The sequence below is a fragment of the Homo sapiens genome, chromosome 2 (assembly GCF_000001405.40).
Source record: "Homo sapiens chromosome 2, GRCh38.p14 Primary Assembly".
Classification (NCBI taxonomy): Eukaryota; Metazoa; Chordata; class Mammalia; order Primates; family Hominidae; genus Homo; species Homo sapiens.
In genome coordinates, this window is record NC_000002.12 from 16,716,832 (window position 1) to 16,741,853 (window position 25,022).

Here is a 25,022-nt window from a genome sequence, read left to right on the forward strand (position 1 = left end):
GAACTCTTGGACTCCTTGCCAGGGAGGGGCCCCACTGTAGGGGTCAGTGGAGACAGCTTTGGCAGCAAGGGGTTCAGAGGACAGATGCTGAGGCTGAGGCTTGTTCTGGAACAGAGGCTCCATTCTCCATGGAGGGGTCATCGGTCAAGCTGTGGCAAGCTCTCCGACCCCCCTGAATGCAGACTCTGTGAGATGTGATAAACCAGGCCACGGGACATGATGCCCCTCCCTGAATAGTTCTGTGACTGGACAGATTTCTCCCACATTCCAGAGGCCACACCAGGGGCCTGGTGTGAAAAGTCTTCCCCACAGGGGGTCATCCTTGACCACTGCCCACACTTCACATTTTCTAATCAGAGAGCTGGGTTCCACCATCCAGCTGGTCCACAGCCTGTGGAATTCCGTCACTCTCCAGGCTGCCTTCCAGGCTGATGGGCCACAGGGTGGAGGAGGTTGCTACATATTTGGGCAATTTCAGGGAGTCCAGAAAGAACTTCTGGCTCCCCCAAGTCCTGTTTCTTGGCTTTTGCCATGAGATTCCTGCTGCTTGATACCAGAATTCCCTTTTAGCAGACGACAACATTTTTTGAAGATAGCTCAGACATGGAGAGCACCTTTGAGGGTAGGTAGGAGTGGGGCACAGTGTTAGAGATAGGCCCCTTCCTGGGAGCTGGATATTTTGGTGAAGAGTGAGGAGAGGAACGAGACCCTGAAATGGGGAAGGCTATGGAATGCAATGGAACCCAGAGGCTGGAAATGGCATCAAGACTAAGGCTACCGAATTTGCCAAGTTGTCAACACTGTCTCAATCTGCCTGGCAGGGGACCTTGATAAGGTCAGAGAGAGTATTGACATAATTTCACAGACAGGCTCAAGCGTGGGCTCACAGTGCTGTGTGTTACATCATGCTGTGAAGTGGGTGTGTCCCCAAGGTTCCTCATGAGGAAGCTGGCTCAGAAACACAAATTGGGTGCTCATTTGTAAAATAGATCACTTCTCTTGGAGTCAAGCAAAGTTTTCCAGAGGAGGCAACATCTGAGATGGGGCTTAAGAAGCAGGTTAGGAGTTCTACAAACAGGCCTTTGTCCCAGGCTCGCTTTGCACTGAGGGAGTTCTCAGAAGGAGAGGGCACTGCCTGTAATTTTAGGGTCCCCTGGAGACGTAGCTGAAAGCCATAGTCCTCATCACTGGATAGATCGATAACTGGTAGGAACTTACAGAAGCAAGAGCAGTCAGAGAAACAAAGATGCTTTGAAAGTTACAAAAGAGAAGAGAATGACTAAGGCAGAGAGAGAATTTATACAAAAGTTGAACATGAAGTTACCATGTTCTTTGAAAATAAAAGATGATTTTGTCTCATAGACTTCATTTTTTTTTTCTGTCTGGAATCAGAAGCCTCATAGGAAGAGATTAAGGGAGAAGGCAGCCTGGAGTGGTTGCATATCTGCAACAGAAGTACTTATGTGTCTTTAACAAAGAAAACTGAGAGGTGACTATAGCTCACTGGAAAGGGCCCTGGGCGAGGCTGCTGGTTCCTGCCCCTCCCAGATGCTCTGTGAGCTCTCCGTGTGTCCTTGGGCAAGCCCCTTGCCTTCTCTGGCTCTCCCATGGCAAAATCATTAACTGAAAGGTGCCTTTAAATTCTCACCCTCTATGGATCTATTTTTAACCAAAAAAAAAAAAAAAAAAAAAAAATCACACTTACTCCCACACTGTGAGCTTGCCATAACAACATTTGTAGCTACACAAACTTCCCAGAATCAGAAAGAAATAGCATTTGTGAAGTGTCAGCTCATCAAAAATTACTGGCAACCAGAGGGTTCCAAGCCCATCCCCAAAACCTGCTCCATGATGTGAACATAGGCCAGGCAGGCGCCTTCCCCGCACGATGCCTCTCGGGCCATGTTCTTGCTGACTACGCCACATGTTCTCACAACAGAAATAGAATCCGTCTGTCACACAGCAAGTGCACTCCTGGGAGAGTGAAGTGTGTGAGTATGTGTGTGCGTGTATGTATTTTTTTATTTAATTTTTTTTCTAGATAATTCTCTGTCAAAGAAAGTTATTTCGGAAGCAGGGGGCATGAGGCCCTGGAAAGCTGTTAGCTCCCTGCTAGACAAGTCACTTATCACAGCATCTTGGCATCCTCAACTAGAGACAGTGCCAAGAATGCTCAGCACATGCCCTGCAGGGGTGTCATGCGGCCCATGTTGGGGACTCATAGACTTTTTGGGTGTGAAACTCCACTGCAAAGCAAAGTATCCCCAGATGATTGGGACACATTAGTTGCCTTCTCCTAATCCTAGATTCAGGACTCCCATGAGCTAAACTAAGCTGGTAGCTCTGAGCTCATGCCATCCTTAGATCAGAGACCAGCTCCTCTGAGATCACTCTTTCCACTATCCACTTGGTACAGCCTCTCTGACAAGGGGCATCCAGCTGCCTAATCATCCATCTGAGGTCTACACAGTGGCCAGTGGGGTTTCTTTTATCCTAATATGATCTCACTGTTGAAACTATCAGCAACTCGAGAAACTCTTCATAGGAGGAAGAATCTGGAGATTGGGCTCAAGCCCAAACACCCCCCACCAATAAGTTGCATAACCTTAGGCAGACTTTTTAGATCTCTCTGTGCATCAGTGTCATCTGTAAATTGGGGATCATGAAAGCATTTGTCTTACCATCTTGTGGGTTCTCGTAAATATGACCTATGCCACTGGGCATCAGATAATGTTAAGCACAGTCTGAGCTGGGCAAGGGCCCCTGGGTGCTGTGTACATGGTACACTGCCAGACACCTGCAGCTAAGAAGGTGGGATAAAAATAGCGCCCAGATGACAACTGCCAGGCAGAAAGCTAGAATTTAGAGTGCAGGACCTCTGGAATGTGAGAGATCAGAGGAGGTAAAGTCATCGGCAAGTTTTTGTTTTTTTTTTTCTTTTCAACTTTTATTTTAGAATCAGGGTCCATGTGCAGGTTTGTACAAAGGCATATTGCCCGATGCTGAGGTTTGGGGTATGATCGAAACTGTCACCCAGGTAGTGAGTATAGTATCCAATAGGTAGTTTTTCAGTCCCTCCTCTGCACCCTCTAGTATTCCCCAGTGTCTATTGTTCTCATCTTTATGTCCGTGTGTACCCAGTGTTTTGCTTCCTGTTAGAAGTGAGAGCATTCTGTATTTGATTTTCTGTTTCTACATTAGTTAGCTTAGGATAATGGTCTCCAGCTGCATTCATGTTGCTGCAAAGAGCATGATTTCATTATTTTACATGACTGCGTAGTATTTAATGGTATATAAGTATCGTATGTTCTTTATTCAATCCACCCTTGAAAGGCACCTGAGTTAATTCTATGGTTTTGCAATTGTGAAGAGCACTGTGACAAACCTACGCATGCATTTGTCCTTTTGATAGAATGATTTATTTTCCTGTGGGTATATACCCAGCAACGGGATGGCTAGGTCGAATGGCAGTTCAACTCTTGGTTCTTTGAGAAATCTCTAAACTGCTTTCCACACTGGCTGGACTAATTTACATTCCCATCGACAATGTATAAGCGTTCCCTTTTTCTCTGCAGCCTCGTTAACATCTGTTATTTTTTGATTTTCTAACAGAAATCATTCTGACTGGTGTGAGATGGTATCTCATTGTCTTTCTTTGATGATTAGCGATGATAAGCATTTTTTCATATGTTTGTTGGCTGCTTGTATGTTTTCTTTTGAGAAGTGTCTGTTCCTGTCCTTTGTCCACTTTTTAACGGGGTTATTTGTTTTTTGCTTGTTGATTTGTTTAAGCTTCTTATAGGTTATGGAAATTAGATCTCGTTTCTTGAAGGAGACCCACATCTAGGCAGTTCTCCCTGCCCGTGCCAGAATGTGTCTGTATCAGTCCATTCTCACACTGCTAAAAAGAACTACCTGAGACTGGGTAATTTATGAAGAAAAAAGGTTTAATTGACTCACAGTTCTGCAGGCTTAACAGGAAGCATTACTGGGAAGCCTCAGGAAACTTACAATCATTGCCCAAGGTGAAGGGGAAGCAAGGACCTTCTTCACATGGTGGCAGAAGACAGTGAAGAGGGAAGTGCCACACACTTTCAAACTACCAGATCTCACGAGAACTCACTCACTATCATGAGAACAGCAAGGGGGAAATCTGTCCCCATGATCCAGTCACCTCCCACCAGACCCCTCCTCCAATTTGACATGAGATTTGGGCAGGAACACAAATCCAAACCATATCAATTTTCCTTCGGACACCCCCTCAGCCCAAGGGATCATTGGTCTCCCCACGTATGTGAGCCTTGCCCGCCAGCTTTGTGACAGGTCCCTGAGAGAGAATAGAGATACTGGTTTCCTGTTGTTCCCCAGACCTGTCTAGCTGGGTAGGCTCATTCTAGGTGCTCAGGGTCCCTTTTAGGGCCATTCCTTAGCCTGTCACCCCACTGGGCACAGCTTGGCTATTCTCCTGGGCTGCTCTACTCAGCCAGTTCTCAGCACACAGATGTCTCCCTGCACTGTCCTCTCCCTGTGACCCTCTAGTGGGGCCAAGCCTCTGCCTGTTGCCAGACTCACTCATTCATTCATTCATGTCTGTCATCTTTTCCTCATTTAACAATAGTCTGTACATTTTAGACTCCAGGTGGACACTGGAGATGAAGAGATGAGTGGGCATGGTCCCTGCTCATGTGGATTTTGGAAAGTTCCTTAATGAATGACTCCCCTACCAGCCCTAAGGAGTCCTGACTAGCTTGTGGCTGAGCTGAGGAATGGACAGCTATATTTAAATTGGGCCCATCAGCAATGAGCATGCAGAACAACTAGTTATTTCCTTTCATCCACACAGCAGCCTCTGTGAGAATTTTTATACCCATTTTCCTGATAAGGCAACTGAGGCTAGGAGGAGACTAGTAAGAGGTAGAGCCAGGATTAGAAATAAAGCCTTCTGGCCAGGCACGGTGGTTTATGCCTGTAATCCCAGCACTGTGGGAGGCTGAGGTGGGCAGATCACGAGGTCAAGAGATCGAGACCATCCTGGCCAACATGGTGAAATCCTGTCTCTACTAAAAATACAAAAATTAGCTGGTCGTGGTGGTGTGCACCTGTAGTCCCAGCTACTCAGGAGGCTGAGGCAGGAGAATTGGTTGAACCCGTCAGGCGGAGGTTGCAGTGAGCTGAGATTGTGTCACTGCACTCCAGCCTGGCGACAGAGCGAGACTCCATCTAAAAAAAAAAAAAAAGAGAGAAATAAAGTCTTCTGGCCCCCGGTAATGTATGTTCATAATAAACCAAGATGCTTGGGTTCCTTAAGAGGCCCAAGATAAATTTGGGGATGAAAATGGTGGAAAGAGTGCTAAAATGGTCCTTCTGCCTGGGATAAATAAACATGAGTCAGTGGGGAGGCAGCATTTTCTCCTTGGAAAACATGTGTGTAATTCTGCAATTAGAAGTGCCAGTAAAAGTGGGTGGGCAGTTCTCTGGGATATAAATCACTACCAATAGTCAAAGATGAACAGCTGTGGCTACAACGGGCTGGGGCCAGGGAAGTTCAGGCACTCCATGCTTTATGTCATGACCACCTTGGAACCTTCCCCTGACTTTGGCTATGGATCTCTGAGATTCCTTTTTCTCTGTTGCCTCTCAATCCTTCCTCATCTTAGTCATCTTGGTGATATTTATTTTAAAAATGTGTATATTGTATATGTGTGTGCCGGTAACCAGGTCACTTCCCTAATTAAAACCCTTCATTGGTTTTCTAGATCCACAGGTAGAATTTAAACTCTTGAGTATGGCTTATGGAGATGTCTCAGTTGGAGTTATCCCCAAGGCAAAGAATTAGGTGCAAGAATTGCCCACTGAGCAGTACAACGGCAGAGGCATTTATCCACCAATGCTTGTTTCTCTTTGGTGAAGGCTTGTTTCGGGGGATATTAACTTCCCACCATGTCTGTTCTGCTCCTCACAGAGCCAGCTCACTCCTGGGAGTAACAAGGGCTTTCAGATGGAGATGTGCAGGCGCTCAAGGTAGAAGTCATTTGCCTGTCGGGGAACTGTCCACCCACGCTGCTGGCGCCCTCCTAAGGTGAGCCAAAAGGATGCGGGGGTCAGTGTGCTGTCTACTGCAAGGACTCTGAAAGGGATTTCTTCTTGGCCTCATCGTCTGCTCCTGAACCCGCTCCAAGAGTTCACAGAGATGTCACTCCATGAGTAAGAAAAACATGTAGATCATGTACACAGTTATGGCACATTTGTAAGAATCTGTTTATCTGAAGAAGCAGGCAATTAATCTTTTTTTAGTCAATTGACCAGGCTGTGAGCTTTTCACTGTTTTCTTTTTAGTATAAGGTCTCATATCCTTACTAACAGGCAGGAGAAGGAATCAAATGGCAATATAAACAACTCGTAGCTATCAAAAAACACAAATCCCTGTGTGATAGGCATGAGGTAAGGCTATGTTCAACTCTCTTCCTGAGCCTGGACAGAAATACCCTGTAAAACTCCTTAAGCAATGGAGGATTCTATAATAAAAAGGAACAATTTAGTTGCATTCTTTAGACTCTCCTTAGTAAGGCAAAACAAAGAATATGACCAGGTATGTGGAGATTTAACTCGAGTTTCTGATTAAATAAGGTTTGAAATCTGTTCCTGAATAGACAATTTTCCCCAGTCTCCCATATTTTGCCCATGCTGTTCCCTCTGCTGAGACTTCCCTTCCCATGTTTGTCCATCACTGCTTCTGTGAAATCTCCGACCAGTGCATACATCCTTGTCGCTACAGAATACCTGAAAATACTTTATCATGCCCATTGAAACTATTAACCCCTTTCTAAAATTAATTTTATTTATCTGTCAAAGTGCCCACAATAATGAACTTTGAGGCCAAACATTTTTGAATATAATATAATCTTTATTATTTTAATAGCATACGCACCTAATTTGTAGAGCACTATGTATGTTTTTCTTTGTCTTAAAAACATCTATTTCAGATTGGCTATAAAAAGAAATTCCTTGATTTGAAGGCAATTGCTAAATATTTTCTGTGGGCCAGTCTTAGTGGGACACACCTATAATTTATTATCCCTATCCTATCCTAAGGAAATTTATTATCCTGCTAAGAAGCTGATGTATAAATCCAGGAAATAGCTAAGAATTAATTCCAGCCACTTGGCAAACCAGAAGGAATTCATGCCATGGAGAAATCCAGTGCAAGTTGGGGCAACATTTTAAGGTTATGAGGCTCCAATTGAGCTTTGGAGGAAGGATGGGATATGGCGCTTCTGACGATAGAAGGACATCCTGAAACAGTACAGTCCAGGTGGCACAGAACCTCAGTGGGAATAAGCAGGATGTGTTGTTGAAGGAGAGTAGGACCATGATGGATTTTCCTGAAATAGCCTCTTTGTGCTGGTTGGAAGGGTGTATTCATTGAAAGGTGTAACTGGAAGAGCGCAGACTGGGGAGAACCAGGATGCCAGCCAATGGGATTTAACATTCAGCCAACATATAACCAGTAATCTTTTTAAGAAAAAGGTGGGCACTAAGATGCTCGTGCTTGAGGAAAGTCAATGTGGCCACTGTATGAAAGATGGATTGAGTGAAGATGAGAAGCAGGCTGAGATGGGACAAAGGGAGGATGGCAAGTCAGGAGATTGTCCTACTGAGACCTTCAGGAGAACAATGCTTGAGGTGAGGAAAGGAGAATAGATGCATGTTTGGTGGGACATTTGTCTGCAAGGCAAGAAAGAAGGATGTAATAATAACAACTGCAATGTTTGGCTCTTGTCCAGGAGAATAGAATAGTGTTGATGGGGGTGGATGGGTAGGAGAAATTCACCCAAAGAGGTAAGACTTGTTGAAGCCACACTAATGGAGTGCATTTGTGTGTGTATGTGTGTGTATGTGTATGTGTGTGTTTAGGGGGCACAGAGAGAGTTTTGCTGTGAGAAGAGGAGCAGAAGTGGGAAGAAAATAGAGGCAGTCAGAGGTAGGATTAATTGGGTTAAAGCCAGTTAGGATTGAATAGGGCTAAAGACCATCTTTGAATATAGCTTAGTTTCAGTCATACCCGTTACTTGAGCCATTCTTTGGAGCACACAGGGGCTCTGCCTTCCCTGAGCATCAATAATGCAGCAGGGAAATTGCAGGTCTGTTCCTGAATAATGACACAGATTAGGAACATAAGCCATTTGAAAAGCTCTTCCTTTATCACTGTAATTACAAACATAGCTCATGTTTGGGACCTGGTATGGAATTTGATGCTTGACTTTTCAATATGTGTCCATGCAGTTTCCATACAGTTTCTTTTTGGCTGATGACACTACTGAAGTTTGTATGTAGATACAAATGCAGCCATTCATAGCCTATACAAAAACACATCCACAGATGTTTTGCACAAGAATCACGCTCAGTGACTCTCAAAATACCTTCACCACCTCCACACTCCTAAGGGGTATAACACACTCAGATCAATAACAGAGAGTTAATTTGTATGTCTTCCATTTCAGTGGGAGAATTGGAAGGCATACATCCCTGAGAGCTTGAGTCAGAATCTAGGGTAGGGAGAGTGGGAAGCCCTTCAGGAAGCAGGTCCCTCCCAGGGGACTCACTGTTTTCTAGTTCAAGAGCAGCCTGGACTTATGTTTCTGCCAAAGCTGTGTTTTCTGCCCTGCCTTCTGCCCTTCAAATCCTAAACGTATCCTCAACCCTTAAACACTCTTCAAGAGCCAGTTGTAGTTTTCTCTTCAGCCGAGAGATAACCCCTGACTCACATAGCCGAGGCCATCTCTTCAATATGCCATCCTGGCCCTTGCATTTCGCATTTGATTATCTCTTTGAGTGTCTGTCTCCTCCTCTAGACTGTGAACTCGTTGAGAGTAGGTGTCATGTCCCAGTCATCTCTGAAGCTCTGCATCTAGCATAGTGCTTGGCAGAGGGAAGACAGTGAAAGCTTACAGATGGAACGAATGAACGAGGTGGTTGATGATTCAGTGACACACGAGTCGTTGCATGCTATGTTAGTTTTTCTATAACCCCTCATGTGTTTGCAGCCTTTCAGAATACCTGACCTTTGCATTCTTTAACTTATCGTTACCATAGTGCTTCCCTAGAAGGCTAACAGTGACAGTATAATTATTCTCCTGTTATACACAAAAAACTCAAGTACTTGAGAGTAAAGTGGCATGACTGAGGTTGACATCAGCAGATGGAGGAGTTAGGACCAGTACCTAGGTAGTTTGACTCCAGAATGGGTTTTTTCCACTTCATCACATTTTATCTTTTCCAGCCAGTATGCATTCCCTTTCTGCCTTTGGGGATTGGTTCAATATTTCTTCTGTTGGAGCTGGGTGGGGGACACTCCAACAAATACCTAGCCCTTGCCTCTTCTGATTCTTCTGGAAGGAGTCCACTTTCCATGAGTGGAAAATCCAAAAGAAACTATTATTCTGGAGAGGCCCAGTGCCTGATCTCTCATGCTCTACATTTCCCAACTCTCTTCCGGAAGTTACACTCACCCCAGATGACTTCAGAGACTCTTTCCGAGGCTTAGAGCAATAGTAATTGGCAAGCACTGTAATTGCCAACAGTCATTGGCAAGATACTGTTTGGTATCCACCTTCTTAAAATGGAATATGAGAACATATATTATTCTATTTTTTTAAAGTCTTTTTCCTCTTCTCTTCCTCCTCCTTCTCATTCTCCTCTTCCTCCTTTTCCTCCTCTTCACCTTTCTACTCCGTCTTTATTCCTGTCTATTCCTTGCAGCATTTTAAAGCTCTTCACACACATATGGGCAATTCAATTTTTTTCGCTAAGTCACTTTTGCTTCATTATCATTAAAACTAATGTGTATTTTTTTCTGCAAAACTTTGCTAAAGTCCCTAGCTAGGATACAAAAAACCTGGGTTCTAGTCATTTTTTCTTAGTCACTGGCCTTGTGACTTCAGAAGAGTCACATAATCTTTCAGTTCTCTTATTAATCATGTTTCGTTTTCAATTATTTATTTTCACGATTGCCTTCCCTACTGGACAGTGAACAAGTAGAAGGTAAGGCCAATATTCTGTTCAAATATGTATTCTTAAGGCCTAACACAGTTTCCAGCAGATATTGGTTGAACTCAATGGCGCATTGAATGTCAGAGAGAGGATAGGAGGCAATTAACTGCAGAAAAGGTACACTGAGAAGCCCTTCTCACCTGTTGGGTGCTTTCCTTGATATTTGAGGAGGAAAGTAACAGGGTCAAAGGGGTGGGAGGTGTGGAGATGATGACAATGATGATGATGACAATGTGTGTGTGTGTGTGTGCAAGCACTCTCCTGTGCACACATATGTGATGTTTGTTCAGAATGGAGGACATAGAGTTGCTGGCAGCAAGGGAAGGAAGGGAGCCACGAGTGACAAAAACCCAGATAGTGGATCACTGAATATCGGGATTTGATGTAACCAGAGAAAATGGAGTCAAAATTCCCTGGCCCAATACCCAACAGAAACCTAGTCAAATACCCATGATCTTAGCACCACTGTGTGGCAAGAGCTGGGAGTCAAGAGTTCTTCTAACTCATTGGGTGACACAGGGAAAGCTGCCTCTACTTTAAGGTGACCTTTCAATTTCCAAGACAGCAGAAGACAATGAAGGTTGTCAGCTGAACTTTCGAGGATGCAAAAACACCCACGAGTTGTTGAGTGTGCCATGCTATTTTCTGGGAAAACAGAGGCTTACTAGGATTTGCTTGTTTTGGAATTGCTTCATATCAACATTGCCAAGGAAAAGGCCACACGCTGCCAGAAAGCCGAACTATGATTAGGATTGTTGGGCTAGGGATAAGAATTGCCCAGAAGATAGGATTTTTTTTTTCCAAAAGAAAGACTGTGAAATATATATGAAGGTGAAAATAGAGTGACCACATATGATTAGTGTGATTGGGACCAAGACATTATGGAGAAAGCAATTCTGCTTAAATATCTAAAAGCACAAGAGATACCACAAATAAATCCTAGGAGAGAACACAAGTCAGGAGATTGACATGGGTATGAGGAATATAGGAAAGTATTTTTACCAACATAAAGAGGAGTGTGGAATATATTTCCTAAGAATGCTTCATACATCCTATCCTCCTGATATGGTTTGGCTCTGTGTCTAAATCTCATCTCAAACTGCAATTCCCACATGTCAAGGGAGGGACCTGGTGGGAGGTGATTGAATTATGGGGGTGGTTTCTCTCATGCTGTTCTCGTGATAGTGAGTGAGTTCTCATGAGATCTGGTTGTTTGATAAGTGTCTGGTGCTTCTCCCCCTCACTTACTCTCCTGCCGCCTTGTGAAGAAGGTGCCTGCTTTCTCTTCTGCCATAACTGTAAGTTTCCTGAGGCCTCCCCAGCCATGCAGAACTGTGAGTCAATTAAACCTCCTTTGTTTATACATTACCCAGTCCCAGGTAGTATTTTTACAGAAGTGTGAAAATGGACTAACACACCTTCTTAGGAATAATTTTAACATTAAATTAATGTTCAAGATAATACAAATAGTAGTGTTTATATAAGAAAATATTTTGTGTAAAAAGACCCAGAATCTCAGCTTTGTGTATTCTGTAGCTGTCCCAATAACAATTTTCTTGTAATTAAGCAGCCAGCTGTTCACTGACTCTCAAATGCTTTTCCCATTACAATGGCCAGCATGAGAGGCTGAGACATACATCTCCATCCTTATGTAAGAATTTGGGGGCATTTCAACAACTCAGCTGACTGTGTTTCATCTTCTCAAAGTACTTCTGTTTTGATCATTTTTTCTTATGAAATAGGGAAAATAAAACAAGAAAAACCAAAACCACAATTCCTATGAGTTTCATACCTTGTAAGTGTGTAATAACACTGCCAATACTCTCTGTGAGCATCAAGGTAACTTTTCCATAAAACATCAGGTTTTGTTTGTTTTTCTTAAACTTAAGAAAACAGGTTAAGAAGCATGTTTTCTCCTGTCATGATTTTGCAACGTTAAAGGCAACAGAGGGGTCTGTTTCCTGCATGTTTACTTACTGCAGAGCACGGGATTGTTCTGCACGTAGTACTCCGCCAGTTGTCTGGGCATCATTTCATCCTTCTTGACTATGTCTCATCAGGTTTCTCTCTGAGTTGATGATCTATTTTAAGAGTCACTGTTTCACTCTGCTACATCTGAGGAAACACTGTAGAACAATGCAAAACTAAATACTGGTTCTACATTATTGCAGGGGAGAGACTTTTGGCATATGTAGCCACCTTTCTCATAACATAAAAGAGCTATAAACATCAAAGCCCAAATAGATCTGAGACCACCTGTAGCCCAAACTAAGGAGAGAAATTTAGCCCAGAGCATCTTTAGTTTGAACACAAGTGAATATGATTCCTGGGCAGAATGTCTAGAAGAAAAATAAATGGGCACTGCATCTTTCTTTGTCTATAGAATGAGGTAATAAGATGTCAGATGAGAAGTGATCATGGTTTGGGACAACTGGTAAATTGGAGAAATTTGCTTTCAAAGGCACTAGCCTGCATATTCCCTGCACAGTGTCTCAGGCTCTCTGAAAGGCAGTTGATGACTTAGACGCTTGAAGAAATTAGTGTTAGTCATTTTCCACTAGAAAGACTATGTCATGGCGTGCTCTCTCCTCATCTTCCTTTCTCATTGGACCCATTTCTTCTTCCTTCTTGAAGTCATCATATGACGTGGACTCCATATCTGACAAGCACCAGTGATCACAGAATGAAAGTTCTGCCTCTCTGCCTGCAACTTCACAGTGCAGAGAGGGTCAACCCGAATGTTTGTACTCAACAGTTCTTGACTTTCATTTTCTAAGTTCATCATCACTTTTTAAGCTTTCGGGAGTCCTGGGTTTTAACTGTTTGCAGGAATTCTGGTTTCTAATTACTGTGAATGATACCTGACAATTTCCTTGGCCACAATTTCTCTGTCTGAATTTTAAACATCAAAAAATATACTGCACTTAATAGCCAAAAACACATTTTAAGTAAAAAAGTTTAATATACTCATGATGATGATAATTTTCCAACCATAGAGAAAATGGTTTCATACACTTGTTTTTGCTGAAATGCTGGCAGTGTGTGTCTATTGAGGCATTCATCTCCTTCCTACCCAAGAGACTCTTCCCATTGCCTCTAGGTTGAGGCTCACATCCCATCCTCCAGCAAGAGAGTGCTGCAAGGCCGTTCAGAATAGAGATTTATGTGTGCTTCACTTAAAATGAATCTCATCCCTGTCACCCACATAAAATATGATATCTCAGGCCATCACCGAGAGGAAATTCCAAGTCAGCTAAATGCCTTCCTGATCGTGACATGAGCATGAACAAGGCTCTAAACCAGCTCCGGCGCCTGCCTCACTTTCTAGCCTTGCCTCTGCCAGGCCCCCAGTGTACCCCACGCCTCAGACAGACACAGTCACTTGTGCTTTTCCACTGTCCATGCTCTGAATTGCCTCTGAGCAGGCATCCCCTTGATCTAGAGATCTTCCATTCATTCTTCAAAAAAAAGGCATCTTGTCCTCTGGGAAACTGAAACACTACTTTGCTGCTGTAAGGATGAGATTACCATCATTTTTTTTTTTTTTTGGCACTACTGGCATTCATTTTTCTCCTATTCTCTCTATTATTTTTTAGAAGCATTTAAAAACTTACAAATGAGTGTGCGTAATATAGCCATATACTTTAATGAATAATAATAAAATGAACACCCAGATACCTACCACCTGGCTTGATTGTCAACTTTTTGAAAACATTGTGTGCCTTTCTCTGACCCATTCCCTTCCCCTCCCTAGGGAAAAAATTCAGATCACCACGTTCCTGAATTTTTGAATTATCTTTTTTATTTCTGTAGAATTTGACCACATTTGCAATCATATGTAAACAACACATTACAGTTTTACCTATATTTAAACTTTCTGTACATTGAATCAAATGACTTACAATTCGTATTCTTCTGATTTGCTTTTTTCACTCAACGTTATATCTTCGAGATCCATCCATGATGATGCGTAAGACCAATGTCCATGAGTTCCTTCGTTGTTATATAGGGTTCCACTGTATAAATCATCACAATTTATGTATCCATTCTCCTGATGATAGAGTATTATTTTTTGTTCTTGTAAGAAATTCTCATAAACATTTTTGAACATTTCTCTTAGTGTAGATTGCAAGTTAAAAATATAGTTTTTAAACTATATACTTAGAAATGACAGTGTTGTGTCAAAAATGCAAATTTCATTCCTTTAGGCAATGCAAAATTGTTTTCAAAAGCCATTATACCAATTTATCCTTCCTTTACTACCATTTGTAGTTTCCAAGTTTTTTGTCTTTCCTTTATTCTTTCATTCTTCTTCTTTTCTTTTTTTTTTAGATGGAGTCTCTCTCTGTCACCTAGGCTGGAGTACAGTGGCATGACCTCAGCTCACTGCAACCTGCACCTCCCCAGTTCAAGTGATTCTCCTGCCTCAGCCTCCTGAGTAGCTGGGATTACAGGTGCCCACCACCATGCCCAGCTAATTTTTGTATTTTTAGTAGAGACAGGGTTTTGCCACGTTGGCCATGCTGGTCTCGAACTCCTGGCCTCAAGCAATCCACCCTCCTTGGCATTCCAAAGTGTTGGGATTACAGGTGTGAGCCACCACGCCCTATCTTTTTTCTTTCTTGACTTCTTTTGGATTGATTTATATCTCTCTTTCATACTTTAATTTTCTTCAACTATTGTGGAAGTTACATACACACACACACACACACACACACACACACACACACGCACAAGTTAAATTCTGAACTTGGTCAGTATCTTTAACTTCTTCTAAACAGTATGAAAATTTTATGACACATTAACTCTGATCATCTCAATTCTAAATAATTTGCTAATGTTGTCCTGAATTTTGGCTCTTTCTTGTTTATTTAGGTGTATGAATTTACTAAACATATTATAATAGTTTAATGCAATAGATATTTTTACATTTACTCACATTTTTAACATTTTCTTTGTTTACTATTCCATTTGTAGTCTTCAACTTTCCTTCTGAAATTATTGTACCTCTTCCTTTTTTCTTAAAGCAGTGATTTGACTTCAGTCTTTCTTCTTTCTCCTCTGGTGATTCTAATTAGACATATTAATACCTTCTCAGTTTATTGTTCATGTCTCTTTACTTGTGTCTTTCTATTTTTTGGTGGGGGGGTACATTCTGGATAATTTTTTTCAGATGAATCCTCCAGGTCATAAATTTTATCTCCAATAAAATTGGTAATTAAATGTAGCCATTTTTAAAACACATATACACTTTTACTTTAGCTCTGGAATTTATATTTGTTTATTTTTTCTATTTTACATCTGTCAGATCAATTTTAGCATCTTATTTCTTCATTATACTTTTGATTCCATTTTATATTTCTAGAAACATTATAGATATTTGCTTCATATTCTCTTCCTTATAATTGAAATACCTGCAGCCTTTTCCCTTGTAATCCTATATGATTTACACCACCTCTGCTAGGGACATTTCTCCTTTTCTGTTGAGTGAGTTTTAATTGTGAGCTCATGCTCTTTAGTTCTTTATCTGTGGGAATTCTTTGAAGCCTTGGTTTAAAATACATTTCTGCTGAGAGGATTTGCCCTTGGTGTCTTTGGAGCAGTAGCAATCTAGGCCTATTAAGAACTAAAGCCTAGAGGGTATTTTTGGTTTTGGATTTTTTTTCTTTTTTGCTACATAGGTAAGTTTAATTTTGATCACAGACCTACAGGAGTATACACACAAGTTTAAAAATTATGAAAGAATTTGGTTTTTATTTCTTTCTTGTTTAATTAAAACATAGCCTCACTGTGTGCTTTTGTAGGGTAGGTTTTATCCCCTTGTTTCAGGAGCAACATTCGAATGTTGCTCCTCAAAGCGGCCTGGCTTTTGTGGGTATCCTTGATTCAGTCAATCCTGCTAAAGGCCAAGGTTTTTCTTTGGTCTTATTTGATACTCATTAAGACCCAGGTTCTAAGCACCCAGATATCAGCATACAGCCTCAAAGTACCTGGCTCCTGTACTAGTTTCACCTGCGGATTAGTGCTTGTAACTTCCTTGTCATTTCTGGCTTCTGAGGAATTTCCTTTCCACCTACCTTAGCTATGGGTCAAACATATATATTTTTAATTTAGCTAGCATTTAAACTGTGCTTAAGTGATTTTCCTGTGTATCTAATCTATCATGTTGTCATAAATAGAATCCCTATCCTGAAAATTATTCAGTCTTAACACTTATCACAATTGCCACAAATATCTGGTTTACTTATCTGACTCTCCCCAAGAGCTTCTTAGAAGCAAGAACTGTGATTTCTTCATCTTTTAATTCCAGTGCCTGATACAAAGTAGGGACTCAATCAAAGTTGCATGAACAAAATAGCACATTTTGAAAACCAATAATCCAGCAACTGGAGATTTCCTCTGTACCAAACAGAACCAATTTATTAAAGTTGGTTACCCTCACATTCCAGGTTGATTACTATAAATTGGATATTTGAATAAATGAAGGTCTTCTTTCAAAAATTCTGAATTTGCTGGAGGATTTATAGGATTGGAAAACCGTGCTGAGAGTTAATTGGCTTGGATATTGCATACCCTGAGGGACTACAGAGAATGTGTGGGAAGGGGTGAGTCCAACAGGCAGCAAGGTGAAGAGGCAGGATCCGATAAGCAGGTGCTTTTAATCTTCTGGGGTAGCACTAAAGGGGTCCAGGAGCCTCCCGTGAGACCGCATGCACATCTGAGCCTGGAGTGAAGGGGGAGCCCTGGCTGGATCCTGCCTACCCTGCTGGTGTTATCTCAAGGTGAGGGATGTAACTGCTTCTGGTCCTAGCCTTTTCTTCTCCACAGTCCCATCAGAGGACTCTAGGCTAGCCTACTGATCTGCAGACTGTAGAGCAGGCCTGGCTGAGACTCTCCTGGCTGCATTAATTCACGAACTATTGGACATAAAGTGACCCCAGTGAAGCTGTGAGCCCGTTCATTTGATCTCACATTGTAATAATCAGAAAGAGCTCTCTATGCTCCCACAGCTACCTCTTGCCCACAACCAAAGAATTCTAAGTAGCTCTGAACTTCAAAAGGAAAACGAACATTTGCATGATCCCTTCTCTTATTCCAGTGGAATGGTGTTGCAGCATGGCAAGGTGATGTTAGCACTGGAACTCAGGAATTGAGGCCACACTCACTCTCGGCTTTGTCACTGCTGGGTACCTTGCTTAGTAACCTTGGGCCAGTTGCTCCCCATTGGAGACCTCAGTTTCCTCATCTATTCAGTGAGGTAGGGCACAGAATGTTCTCTAAGGTGTTTGCTAGTTTAACAAGTCTAGGATTCTGTGACTGACAATGTTTTACTTCCCGATTGTACTATAGGCTGTGATTTATCTTCTTTGGAAACTGACAAAATAATTTCCAGTAAGGCGTTCCATCGTCCTCTAAAAATAATGTACATGCATCTTTTGAATCTGTTACTAAGTAGTTTGCCTATAGACATTAGGTGAGTATTATTTCAGGAGCCATACATTTAAAAATCACACCAAAATAAAAATATATCACCCATTACTCATTTTTCCTGTGGATGTAGAGGCTCACCTACTTTTTTCAGTCTGCTAGAATTGTCTCGAGAATCATGCATTTTCAAATGATTATTTTTGAAGACTTGGCCAGAACTAATTCTTCCATATAATTACAATGTAGAACCATTCAATTGACTCTGATATCTTGGAACAGACTAGGTCTGGATGGCTGCTTTATGTAGACTTCCTTCGATATTTCAAATTGTCCTCAGCTCCCTTCCCTCAGCTCTTACAAATAGAGCTTTAGGGTTATAGTCATTGATTTCCTAGGACTTCATGCCCTGTTCCCTTGTGGAGACACTGACAGCAGCCTTCCCTTCTTTCTCTACCCAAGATGATCCACTTCCTTCAACACACCTCTAGTGAGCACACGCCCAGGTGCTGAGCTGGGCACTGGGAGAAAGGGAGCTACCAGAGAAGGGTCCCAAAGACCTCATGAGCTGGTTTAGTGGGGGAGACAAGACAGGGCTACTTTATGAATTCCAAGGGCTTAGGCACTCTTGCCTTCATGGGCTCCTTCTGCTGTTAAAATAAAAAATTTAAAAATTGAAAATCATCATATATTTTATGACTACATTGGCATAAAGATGAACACAATCTGGGCATGAGTCATTATTACATGTTCGTTAATGTTACTATGTTCAGTTTGTCTTTTGATCTTAAAGGAGATTAAAACATTTTTATTAGTTTCTAAAAGTATCATGGGTCCCAGGCACTGTACCTAATGGAAAAGTCAGCCCTGGGCAGGTGGAGAGGGGTTATACCTATGGAAACCGGCAAGTGAGCCTTCAAAGGAGCTCTGTGGGAGCACAGTGCTCTCTGGGACCCCAGAGCAGGGATTCTCAACTCAATGAGGCATGCAGTGAGAAGTGCTACCCTGCCCAGGGAAGAGACTTCATGGTGAAGCTTAAGCCAAGTGTTGAAGCTGAGTAGGTATGGAACAGGCAAAGAGAGGTAGGCCCCTGTGGAAGAGAAAACAACTTGAGAAATGAAGAAGCAAGAAATGAAAGCCTGTGTGCAGAAAACCAGAAGCTGCTGGATGTGGGTGCAAAAAGTACCGAGCAGGAATGGTCCGAGATAGAGCTGGAGAGGTGGATGGGTCCAGACAGTGACGAGTCTCATGAGTCACTTGACTGGCATGGACTTTGTCCTGGATGGACAGTAGGGATCTATGGACTTTAAAATGAGAAGAGGATGATCAGATTTCAGATTAGGAAGACTGGAAAATACATGTATTCATCAAATCAGGCAAGGAGTAAGAGTGAGTGAGTGTGTGTGTGTGTGCTTGTGTGCACACAAGTATATTCTGGGCATGTTTTGCTCCATCAGGGCCTCTTTGGAAGCCAGTGAACTTTCTTCCATGGATGTGCCATGGGACTGCAAGGCACAGCCTCTGACAAAGTCAGCTTTAGGAGCAGAGGCTGCACAGTACGGTCTCTCAAAACTCCTGTGAAAATAAACACTTGAAAAACTTTTGTCCTGTGATATCATATGTGGCAATGTTTGGTACTGTTCTCAAGAAAGCAGAGAGAGAACAATCTCTTAGAGAAGTCCCATTTTCCCCATCCTACTAAATATCACAGTTCCCCAAAGTGACTTTGCTGTCTTCTGTCCCCCCAGTGCCTTCCTGCATGCTGTTCCCTTTGCCCGGAATACATTTCCTTTCTTGTCTTGTGTGTTGAACACCTGCGTGTGTTGTAAGATGCAACCCAAGTGGCTCCAATGAATGTTTGCTTGATTATTCTCTCTGGCCATTACTCACTCCCTCCTTGGATCACAGCTGTGGCAAGGCATGGTTCTCTCTATTAGAGCCCCTTCACTGGGGCCCCCACTGTGAGAACGACTGAGACCCTATGGAAGAGCAGGTCCTTGAGGGCACAGACTCTGTTTAAGTGTATCCTCAGGATCCAGGCCACTACCAGCACGTGGGATCCAGGATAACCTTGAATCAATAAATGAGTTACTCCTGAGCTCATTTCACTTCAACAGGATGGACTCATCACTCCTGGTTTTAAGCAAAGCGCCTCACATCTAAAAAACACCAATGAAGCGGGGTTTTTGAACTTTAAACTGTATTTCAATGTTTTTCACAAAACTGTGTATGCTTTAATATCTCATTTTCCCAGCATTATCTCACTTCTTCAGAGGTTGTATAAATCTCATATTACAGGGGCCAAAGTCGTCAGCACAGTGTGGGTTTTTTTTTTCTTTGCGTGTGAAAGAGTTTCAGGCACACAATTCATGTCAATACATTCTACTCCAGAGTCTTTTCTAATAGAATAAAATGAGACCATGCATGTGTTTAATTAGAGTTCAGTTTTCCGGCTTGATTTGTCTGCCTTACACAGAGGAGGGCATTTAGGAATGAGCTGAATGCTTGTGATTCACATGGTGAATCTGGGTGATGTATGTCCAGGGCCCTCAGAGGAAGTAGAGATGATGGAATACACTCTAGGCCTCTCAAGATCAAGGCCCTTCTGTTTGCTAAGGATGGAAGAAGAGTGAAAAGCCTTGAAAATTCTTAATTATGTGCCTGAGTCTGCACACAGGCAGGTGCCCAGAGGCTCAGTGCTCTTCTCTGGTTAGCTATGTCCTCTGGCCCCTGAGCAGAAATATACAGGCTGGGATCAATGGAACAGGCTAGAAGAGGCCACTCAGAATAACTGCTACTATTTACTGAGTAAGCCAGGCACCGTGCGGGGACTCTACGGACGCAATCTTATTCAATACTCACAGTTCATCCATTCAAGAAATACTCACTAAACAGCTTCCAGTCACCATTGTGGGCAATGAGATCCAGAGATTGTTAAAATACTTAAAACACAAAGCCCTAGTTTCCCACAGAGTCTACTTTATGTTTTGGAAGGTACACAGACAATAATGAAGCACGTAAACAACAAACAGATAACTGTTGAGTGTTGATAAATACGACAAAGAAAGTAAACAGGGCAAGAAGATAGAGTGAGATAATGGAGTGTATGCTATTTTATATAAAATGATAAAGAGAGGCCTCACTGATCCGATGACATTTTGGCCAAGACGCTACTGAGATAAGACAGTGAGCTACACAGATAAATGGAGGAACCTTGTGTTCAGCAGGGGTGACAGCAACTGCCAAGGTCTTGAGGCAGGACTGCAAGGAGTATGTTTGAAAATAGTAATCATCCTGCAAAGTAATTGCTATTATCCTCATTTTACAGATAAAAAATCGGAGGCACTGTACAGCAAAGCAACTCATCTAAGGTCACAGGACTGGTGAATGTACAGCTGTAATTTCAGCCTGAGTCTCTCTGACTCCAAAGCCTTTGTTCTTTCCTTCACATTGCCATGTTCAAAGGCAGTGCTGGTGGTATGAAAAGAGAGAGTGGAATGCCCCCTGAATTTATCATCCCACCTCACTCTTCCAGGGAAGTTTCCTGGATCCTTCCTCCATCTATACATCAAGCAGTTTATCTTGACTGAGCAACCACTATGTGCCCACTTGTGTTGGGCACCAAGGGAAAGCCAGTGTTCATGACCACCTGATGATCTCACACAGGAGAGAGCTCACAGAGGGGTCAAAGTCCACCTGGAGTAGGTCAGAGAATGAGAGCTGGACTGGGAATGCTTGTTGGGGGAGATAGAATATGAGCTGGGTATGAAAGAATGAGGAGTAGATAAGCTTCTGGCTTGGTGACTACTCGGCTTCCCCATCACCCCCACCTGTAGTAGGTAGTATTATTTGTTGACCCATATTTCTTTCTCTACTTCTATTGCCAAGTCCTCCCTGTGGGTAGAATGTTGTCTGTTTCATTGACTTTGGCTTTGGCCATATGATGTGCATGGGTTAATGCAATGTGGGTGAGAGTGACAGTTACTGCTTTGATCTGAAACTTGGAGAGTCATGGCAAAGCTCTGCTGGTCTTTTACTCTTCACTTTACCACAAGAATAAAGCATCCCAGGTAGTTGCTGGTCCAGAATGAGTAGATATACGGGGTGGAACTAAATCCAGCCCATTTTCTAAAGTCAAGCTCAGCCAACCCAGCAGGTGCCAATAGTATCACTGTTGGCCTGTCCACCTGTAAATGTGACATAAACATTTGTTTTAATAAGCCAGTGAGATTTTTGTGATTGTGTATTACCTGGCACTCTTACAGCAGTATTTAAATAATAAATAATACACCTTTGCTTTCAGTCATAGGTAAACTCAGGTAAGCACCTTAACTGTTCTGGCGGATGGGGCACATTATGAAAACAAGCCAGAAAATGTATTAGTCACTCAGGTTCATGAACTCTGCAGCTCAAGATTCTGTCTCTGACTTTATAGATATCCCAATAATTGTGTTTTTGTTCCCACCCTCCTCACCCTTATCATCTAGCCTACAGATTGTCCATAGCACAGAGTATGAAAAATTCTTTAAAAGTTGGTTCCTGTATTAGTCCACTTTGCATCACTGTAAAGGAATACCTGAGATGGGGCAATTTACAAAGCAAAGGGGTTTGTTTGTCTCATGGTTCTGTAGGCTGTACAAGAAGCATAGCAGCAGCATCTGCTTGTGGTGAGGCCTCAGGATACCTTTACTCATGGCAGAAGGCAAGGGAAGCTGGTACGTCACACAGTGGGAAAGGAATCAAGAGAAGAGGGGAGGGAGGTGCCAGACTCTTTAACAACCGGATCTTGCACAAACTAATGAAGTGAAGACTTACTCATTACTTGGGGAGGACACTAAGTCATTCACGAGGGATCCACTCCCCTGACCCAAACATCTCCCACCAGATCCCACCTCCAACACTGGGGTCACATTTCAACGTGAGATTCAGAGGGAACAAATATTCAAACTCTATCAGCTCCTGTGTCCCAATAATTTCTAGTTATTTACAGTAGAGAATATTAACTTTGCTCCATGAAATCTTGGAGCACTAGAGGGACTACTGAAGGGCCAGCCATGGTAAGAGAAGGACAACAAGACCAGGGATTCCAGACTCCCATCTGGGCTGCAACTCAAAAATTTCTACTTTTATTTGTTGTATACAATCAGATTCCTTATAAAACTTTGTCTGAAGCTGAAATCCACTACTGAAGAATGTTTGGAATCACTAGTGTACATGGAAAGCCCCACTTCCACACCCTGATATCTCAGGGCTTCCATAACCTTTCCCCACTTTTTAGTCTAATGGTCCCGTTTCTCCCTTGGCTCTAGTCCCCTTTCCCAATAGTCTGTGCACTCCAGTTACTGTTCCCATGCATGCTCAGATTTCTTTTGCCTCCCTTCTCTCTGTTTGCAAAGCCCTTCCCACTTCTATCTGCCAAAGCCACCATTTGTCTCCCAGGACCTAGCATCAGAGACAGAGAAAGTTCCCCAGAGAATGTTTAGTCCAACCCCTCTACTTTGTAATGTTGTAATGTTGATTTGTAAATTCCAACATCTATTGAGTATTTATTAAAGACAGGCACTGATAAGCATTTTACGTAAATCAGTTCAGTGAATCCTTCAATACTTTGAACTGTGTACTATTATTCTTTCCATTTTATGCAGGAAGAAACTGAAGCCCAGAGAGGTTAAGTAACTTGCTCAAGGTCACACAGCAGTTTAGTACATAGTCAGTGTCTGAATTTACACAGGCTCCAGAGTCTGCATTTTAACCCTTTCAAAATATTGCCTTCCTCATTTTATAGATGAAGAAACTGTGCCATTCAGTTGAAAGAGATTTGCTTAAGGTTACACAGCTGGTTTATGACCAATCAGGTCAGTGCCCAGGCCTCTCGGTGCCAGTCTGGGCTTCATTCAACCTTGGTTGTGCCCACGCTGGAGGTGCCCAGCTGGTGACACAGCCAGGAGGAATCCTTGCAGTGGTGCCTCCTGCCAACTGGCCATACCTGTGTGCAGTCCACGCTGGGCATGTTCTCATTTGCTTGCAGAGCTGGAAGGGACCTTGGAGCATGTCCAGGTCATTGACTTTTACCTGACTACCCATTAAACTTACCTGGGAAAGTTTTAAAAATACTGCTAAGCTGCACTCTCAGGGTGTCTGATTTAATGGTACAGGGGGTGTGCCAGGACATTGGTATTTTGGACACACTCCCAGGTGGTTCTGAAGTGCAGCCAAGGTTGAGATACTCTGTTGTAATCCAACATACTGCTGTGCCACCCCATTTCATAGAACAAGAAATGACCTGTGTCAGTCCCCAAGTAGTCAGAAGCAAAGCCTAGCCTAGAGGAGACTCCCTGATGATATTAAACCCCATACTCGATTCTACTAAACAGGAGTTCCCCGCTGATCATATCAGGCATCTACACCTTCCTGTGGCACATGAGCCCAGAGCAAAGCAAATAAAATCCCATCTGGTTGGAGAAAAATAAAATGAAGACTACTGGGCACCGTCACCATAAGCATGGGTTGCTATCACAAAGTATTATAGACCAGGGAGCTTATAAACAGCAAATTTATTTCTCACAGTTCTGGAGGCTGGAAGTCTGAGATCCAGGTGCCAGCATGGTTGGGTTCTGGTGAGGACCCTCTTCTGGTTGCAGAGAGCTGACTTCTCACCACATTCTCACATGGTGAAAAGAGAGTGACTTTGCTGTCTGGCCTATTCTTATAAAGGCACTAACCCCACTCACGAGAGCACCACTCTCATCACCTAATCACCTCCCAAAGGCCCCCCCTGCTAACAAGATCACATCAATCCCGATGCCACGCTGTTAGGAGGTGGGGCCTTTGGGAGGCGATTGGGATTAACTAAATGTTTGTGGGGAACACAAACATTCAGTCTGTTGCAGCCACAGGACCTGGGATGTCATTGAGGCGATTTGTGATGGCACAACCCAATGGTTGGGGATCAGGAAATGTAAGCTTCGAAGGCTTATTCCATTGTCCTTTGTATGAAATTCAGTAACTCCTGTATTAATTTCAGTAACCCTGGACTGTCATGGGTCTGCCCCCTTTCGTGGGGTATGGGCTGAGATCTGGCCACCACCTTCCTACCTTCCACACCGTTAACCCCAGTACTTCATATGGAACACACCCTAAATTTGATTTTTTTAAAAAAATAGTCATAACCAAACACCTCATATTTTATCTTTTTTTCTGAAAAAGAATTTTAAAATCTGACATGCCACTTAAAAAAAAAAAGAAATCGCATGAGTATAGGCATGCCAGTTTAACTGGGGGTTAAAAAATCCTCACTTTCACAGCCTCTTGCTATGTAGTTGTCCCTGGTTACTGTTCTGCCTCTGTCTCCACAGAGACCACTCTGGGCCAGTAACCATGGCGATAGGAGAAGACGTGAGCAGATGGGAGCACTATGTGCAGAACTTAAACATCCTTGTGTTGGGGGGAGGTAAGTGGGGAATGAGGGAAGGAGAGGAAAGAAACCTAAGAGAGACAGAAAGAAGTTACAAAATCCTTAACCTAGGAATAGATTGCAATGTTGGGGA